The sequence below is a fragment of the Homo sapiens genome, chromosome 7 (assembly GCF_000001405.40).
Source record: "Homo sapiens chromosome 7, GRCh38.p14 Primary Assembly".
Classification (NCBI taxonomy): Eukaryota; Metazoa; Chordata; class Mammalia; order Primates; family Hominidae; genus Homo; species Homo sapiens.
Window position 1 is genome coordinate 44,491,953 of NC_000007.14, and position 7,269 is coordinate 44,499,221.

Below are 7,269 nucleotides of genomic sequence, written 5' to 3' on the forward strand. Positions count from 1 at the left end.
GACAGCAAGATTTGGCCGGCACAGTAGCTCATGCTTGTAATCCCAGCACTTTGGGAGGCCGAGGCGGGAGGATCAGGAGTTCGAGACCAGCCTGGCCAACACAGTGAAACCCTGTCTCTACTAAAAATACGAAAATTAGCTAGGCGTGATGGCAGGTGCCTGTAATCCCAGCTCCTCTGGAGGCTGAGGCAGGAGAATCGCTTGAACCCGGGAGGCAGAGGTTGCAGTGAGCCGAGATCACACCACTGCATTCCAGCCTGGGCGACAGAGCTAGACTCCGTCTCCACAAAAAAAAAGAAGACCACAAGATTCTCACATCTGCATTCACTGCAACATAATTTGCATTATGTTGTTTTCATTGAAGTATATGAAAACATGCAACCTCACACAGACAGTTGCAAATGAGAGGAATATTTTGTCTTTTCAAATAAATGTGGCTATTTGTCTTTAAAATGACATCAAAATTCTTCTACAAGCGATAGTTTCTATTTTTTTTATTTTTAAGAGGCAGGGTCTCCCTCTGTCACCCAGGCTGGAATGTAACGATGTGATCATAACTAACTGTAGCCTTGAACTCTTGAACTCAAGCAATCCTCCTGCCTCAGCCTTCTGAGTAGCTGGAACTACAAGCACATGCCACTGTGCCTGGCTAATTTTTAAATTATTTTTATAGAGACGAGGTTGGGCCTACATTGTTCAGGCTGGTCTGAAACTCATGGGCTCAAGCGATCCTCCCCTCTCAGCCTCCCAAAGTGCTGGAATTATAGGTGTGAGCCACTGCACCCAGCCCTGTAACTGGTAGTTTCTTAAAGGTTACTTGCCATATGGAATCTAAAACTGTATCTATAGACTTTTCATACTCTGTTACATTAATATCGATTGGTCTTTCACTTTGAATGGATCGTTAATAAATGCATGATTTTATACCATCATGTATTAATTAGTCATTTGAAAATGTTGGTCCACTGTGTTATGCAGCTCTTCCAAATGTTCACTCGTTTTATGCAACGAGCATATCTTGCCCCCAGATCTTGGTTTCTAATATCATTTCATTATATAATATCAAAAAATAACATTTGTTAGAATTACCACTAAACTCATCAGAGAAGTCTGTCTTTATTGACAAGCACTCAAGCTCATGGAAGCGGGATATGGGTTTTTTGAATTCTAATTTTAGCTTAAAAACTTGAACTTTATTATTGGAAGTAGATACAATCAATTATTTTCCTTGAAGAGACAGGCTCACTTCATTCTGTCATTCAAGTAAAAATGATGCTCTGTGACTTGTTCAATTGGCAACTCAATCACACAAGTGCTTTGCATCAGTGCAACCATTTTGCTTCAGTATGAGGCAGACATGTCTTATGTGTACTTCTCTTTTAATCATGCACTATTAAAAAGACTTGTTCTCAAGTGGAGAACTTTTAATAAAACAACTTTTAATAAAATTAATAATTAAATGCTATCAGGAGCATTCTTAAGTGAAACTGAACATTTTTAACCTGTAAGTGTAAGGCAGTGCATACTAGTCGAGTTTGGTGCCGTTATGGACTGAATGTGCCTGCCCCCCACCAGATTCATATGTTGAAGCCCCAGTCCTCAATGGGACTATATTTGGAGTCACATTGGTGGTTAGAAGGGCCTTTAAAAGATACTTAAAGGTTAAATGAGGTTATAAGGGTGGGACCTTAACCCAATGGAACTGGTATCCTCATAAGAGGAGAAGGAGACACTAGAGATCTCACTCTGCACACATGCAGAAGAAAGGCCATGTGAGGACACAGTGAGATTGCTTCAAGCTAGGAAGAGAATTCTCACCAGATACCAACACCTTGGTCTTGGATTTCTGGCCTCCAAGACTGTGAGAGAATAAACATGTGTTGTTTAAGCCACCCAGTCTATGGTACTTTGTGACAGCAGGAAGCTAGGACAATGGCCTGCCTTGATTCCTGCTGAGACACTTGCAGTTTTACCTGCCATTGCTTTTGCACCATCATTGCAAATGTCAACATGGTAAAAAAGCAAATAACATCATAGTATTGTTATTTTTACCTTGGAGGCCCCCCAGGGCCACATACTACACTCTGAGAATCACTGCCCTAGAGAATTAATGAATCTCGGGTGAGCCTGTTATATAATTCCTCAGTATAACTGGAAGCACATGCAGTCATCTTCTTGCTATATTCAAAGTTTTGAATAATTTTCTTTAGCACCTAAAGGAAGAAATGGAACAGACGCTGCATCTGGAGAAGGGAAATTGAGGGAAACACTATAAAACAGGAGAAAAACTTACTTTTGTATTTGATACCATATACATGCATTACCTATTCAAAAAGTAAATAAAATATCTTTTTTTTTTTTTTGAAACAGAGTCTCGCTCTGTCGCCCAGGCTGGGGTGTAGTGGCACAGTCTCAGCTCGGCTCACTGCAAGCTCCGCCTCCTGGGTTCACGCCATTCTCCCGCCTCAGCCTCCCGAGTAGCTGGGACTACAGGTGCCCGCCACCACACCCGGCTAATTTTTTGAATTTTTAGTAGAGACGGGGTTTCACCATTCACAGGATGGTCTCGATCTCCTGACCTTGTGATCCACCCGCCTCAGCCTCCCAAAGTGCTGGGATTACAGGCGTGAGCCACCGTGCCCGGCCAAAATATCTTTTAAATTGAATGGAAAGCTAAACATAATGTCATAACACAGTCCAGCAATCATGCTCTTATGTATTTACCCAGCTTATTTGAAAACTATGTCCATACAGAAATCTACATGCAAATGTTTATTGCAGCTTTACTCAAAATTGCCAAAAATGGGAAGCAACCAGGTGCCGTCAACAGGTACTGGATAAACGAAAGGTAGTACATTCATAGAATGAAGTACTGTTTTCAGCAGTAAGAAGGAATAAGCTGTCAATCAATAAAAAGATATGGCTTAATCTTAAATGCGTATTGCTAAGAGATAGAAACCACTCAAAAAATGCTACCACCCAATTATATGACATTCTGAAAAATGCAAAATGTAGAAACAGTAAAAGATCAGTGGTTGTCAGGGTCTGCGTGTGAAAAAAAGGTTGAATGATGCACAGGGAATTTTTTAGGATGTAAAATTATTCTATATGATAGTAATTACTATCATAGAATAATGATAGTAATAATTATTAATAGTAATAATTATTAATAGTAATTATTAGTAATAATAGCAATAATTAGTAATTAGTAATTAATAGTAATAATTAGTAATTAATAGTAATAATTATTAATAATAATAATTAGTAGTAATAATGATAGATACGTGACACTACACATTTGTCAAAACCCATAGAAATTTATAGCACCAAGAGTAAACCTTAATATAGGCAGTCTTTTAAAAAATCACTTAGGAGATTGGGGGATCCCAGAATGGGTTGCAGAATGTGACAAAACAATCTAACTGTGTCACAGATGTATGAAACAACCTCACTGAAGGGATGATAGAAAGAGATGCTGTCCTAAGTAACTTTGGAAATGAGCAGAGTCTGTAAGACTAAAGACAAAAGGAACTGTATATAAACACTGAAATCTAGTTGATACAATTATTCCTAACAGGGGTATGGGTTATCAATTCTGAAACCGCTAGATATGTATAGTGGAAATGAGCAATTAAGTAAATGGTGGAGGGTGGTGGGATCCAGGTTTCTCACTGGTGGAGTGAGAGAGTTATAAATAAGCGGGGAAGGAGGCTAGAATGATCCATGTGGTAATAGATCAGAGTTAGAAATTCATCCTTATAGATACAGATGGCTATGTGTAGAACTGTTTACAGAAATGTGTATATATGCAGGTGAGTGTACATACATGTATTTACTTGCTCTCAGCTGAGAAGGTCTAGAAGCAACAATGCTTCAGTAACAACGAGCATACCTTCCACCCAGATCTTGGTTTCTGATATTCTCCAATAGAAGGAACCAGGGCTTCTTGGAGAAATGGCTGATTCTAGGACTGGCACAGAAAATATACAAGATGCGCCTGGAGCATCTTGTGGGTGGTGTCTCAAAGTAAAGGAAGTGCAAAGAAAAAAAAAACCACACAATGATGGGGGTATGACAAAGGAAAGCGCTTCCAATGGCCAAAGCTGGAACAATTTGAGCAGCAAAATAAGGTATTATTATATTAGAACCCAAAATATAAAACAAATACCTGTGAGTCCATACCGATATACATATAAATATATTGATATATACATACCTATATGATATATAGAGATATTTCTCATACTGAATAAAGAAATGGAAGAAAATAGACACATTTTCTGTTCAGAAGAATTCCCAGTTATTTATGTAGCTAGTCTGCCCTCAAGGAGGTGGAGCATGACTCCCTACTTCTTATGTCTAGGATACATGTAGTGACTCTTCCTAATGGTAGAGCGTGGAAAGGGGAGAAACCTGACGAGGATGACCTCAGCCAGGTGATCGAGGTCAACATCAACAATGATAAGTCATGTTTGATAGTATACACCTTTAATATGCTATGAATGACACCTTACCTCTGTGGTCTTCCTCTCAAAAACCCATAACCCTAGTCTAATCATGGGAAGAATGTTGGACAAGCCCCATTTGAGGAACATTCTACAAAATACCTAACAAGTACTCCTCAAAACTGTCAAGGTCATCAAAAACAATGAAAGCCTGAGAAACTGTCACAACCAAGAAGAGCCTAAGGTGACCTGACAACTAAATATCATGTGGGGTCCTGGGTAGGATCCTGGAACAGAAAAAGGACATTAGGTAAAAATTAAGGAAGTCAAAATAAAGTAGGCACTTTAGTTAGTAGTAATTATCAGTATTTATTAATTGTGAAAAATGAACCATACTAATGTAATAAGTTAATAATAGGGTAAACTGGATGTGAGCTATACAGGAACTCTGTAGTCTCTTTGCAATTTATTTTGGAAATCTAAAACTTATTTTAAAATGTACTCTTAAAAATTGTATTTTATTTATTATTATTTTTTTTTTAGAGACAGAGTCTCCCTCTGTCGCCCAGGCTGGAGTGCAGTGGCGCGATTTCGGCTCACTGCAACCTCTGCCTCCCAGATTCAAGCAATTCTGCCTCAGCCTCCTGAGTAACTGGGATTACAGGTGCACGCTGCCTTGCCTGGCTAATTTCTTTTGTATTTTAGTAGAGACGAGGTTTCACCGTGTTGCCCAGGCTGGTCTCAAACTCCCAGCTCAGGCAATCTGCCCGCCTCGGCCTCCCAAAGTGCTAGGATTACAGGCGTGAGCTACTGCGCTGGCCAAAAATGTATTTTAAAAAGTGATAATCATCCACAATCCTGTTCCCTCCCCTAAAAAGTAAGTGGACATGTTAGGGCAAAGTGCCTGCCTGAGCTCTAGAGGTCAGACATAAAACTGAGTAAGAGGAGATAGTGTAGGGCTGGGCCCCTTCTGGCCCAGCTGAGACTCTCACATGGGGTTCAGGAGGGCAGATGCTTTTAGCTGTTTCTCCAGTAATGTTCCTGGGCACACTGGTTTGGGGATTGGGCCTCCAAGGCCTCAGGCAGCCAGGTCTCCATGGCTTTCTCTTGGTTTGGAGTCTCATGACTGCAGCTCTCCCAGGCTGGGGTTACACAAGGGTAGGTCTACAGTTCTGGGCTCTACTAGGTATCGCCTTGGTGGGAACTCTCTGTAACAACTCTGACCACACATTCCTGCTAAGCATTGCCTTAGTAGGGACTCTCTATGGTGGCTCTTCCCCTGCAATAAGTCTCTTCCTGGGCCTCAAGCTGTTTGATATATCTTTTGAAAACCAAGTGGAAGCTACTGTGACCCCACCACCTATGCACCCATCCCTGCAGAGTTAGCACCATGTAGACATTGCCAAGGCTTACTGGTGAATAGCATCTGGCTCCTTTCTATTCATGCTAATCTCTTCAGCAAGCAGTCTCTGGGCCACACCCTGAGTTCACTCTCCTAAATGTACCTTTTTATACTTTACATGGCCAGGCTATAAATTTTCCAAATCTTTCACTCTGCTTCTTTTTAAATTATAAATTCTGTCTTTAAGTCATTCCTTTGTTCTTGTATCTCACTATATGTGATTTAAAATAGCCATGCAGCAGTCTGAATGCTTAACTGCTTAGGTATTTCTTCCACCAGATATCCTAGTTTGTCATTCAAATTCCACTTTCCATGAAGCTCTCAGGCATGGACACAGTTCCACTATTACTACTTTATAACAAAGATGCTCTTTATTCAATTTTCCAATACCTTGTTTCTCATTTCCATCTGAGACCTCATCAGAATGGCCTCTACCAATATTAAATATAATGTTGGTAGAAAATATAGCCAGTAAAGGCCATTTACTGTTAATGGTGGTAGAGATATAGACAGTAAAGGCCATTTACTATTAATGTTCGTAGAAATATAGACAGTAAAGGCCATTTACTGTCCACATCAGAGACTGTGTCCATATCTCTGTCAACAGTCATGACCACTGAAGTAATCTTTAAGAAGATTCTGACTTTCCCTGTATCTCTTCTCTTCTGAGACCTCACCCTTAATGTTCCATTTATGGCATTATACCAGACTCTTTCTAGCATGCTCCTCAAAGTTCTTCCAGTCTCTACCCATTACCCAGTTCCAAAGCTACTTTTACATTTTCAGATATTTGTTATAGCAACAGACCCACTTCTCAGTGCCAATTTTCTATCATAGTCCGTTTTCTGCTGCCATAACAATACCACAGACCAGGTAATCTATAAATAACAGGCGTTTATTTAGCTCATGGTTCTGGAGGCTGGAAAGTTCAGGAACTTGATGCCAGCATCTGTTGAGGGCCTTCTTGTTTAGTCATCCCTTGGCAGAAAGCAAAAGGCAGAAGGGCAAGTGAGTACACAAGATAGAGGCACCAGGGGCCAGCCTGACTTTATAACAACCCACTTTTGTGGTAACTAACTCACTGTAGTAATAACAACATTAATTCATTCGTGAGGGCTCTACCCACATGATCCAATCACCTTTTATTAGGCCCTAGCTCCCAACATTGTTTCATCGGGGATTACATTTCCAGCACATGAATTTGGGAGACACATTTCAACCATAGCAAGCATGTTAACTAAAGAGAAGACATAAAAAAAAAGAAATCAATTATTTAGGAGTGAAAATATGATGTATTACCTGAAAAATACACCAAATGAGATGTACCACAGATTAGAAGTACAGCCAGGAGCGGTGGCTCACAGCTGTAATCCAACCACTTTGGGAGGCCAAGGTGGGTGGATCATTTGAGGTCAGGAGTTA

The 7,269-nt window shown here is 40.2% G+C and overlaps 1 annotated feature.

The window, feature by feature from the left end:
- Positions 523–649: a silencer, noted in NCBI's record as "fragment chr7:44532074-44532200 (GRCh37/hg19 assembly coordinates)". NCBI's record gives its function as "represses an EF-1alpha promoter that drives an FKBP-Casp9 reporter gene in an ReSE screen in HepG2 liver carcinoma cells {active_cell/tissue: HepG2}" and the evidence as "EXISTENCE:reporter gene assay evidence [ECO:0000049][PMID:32094911]".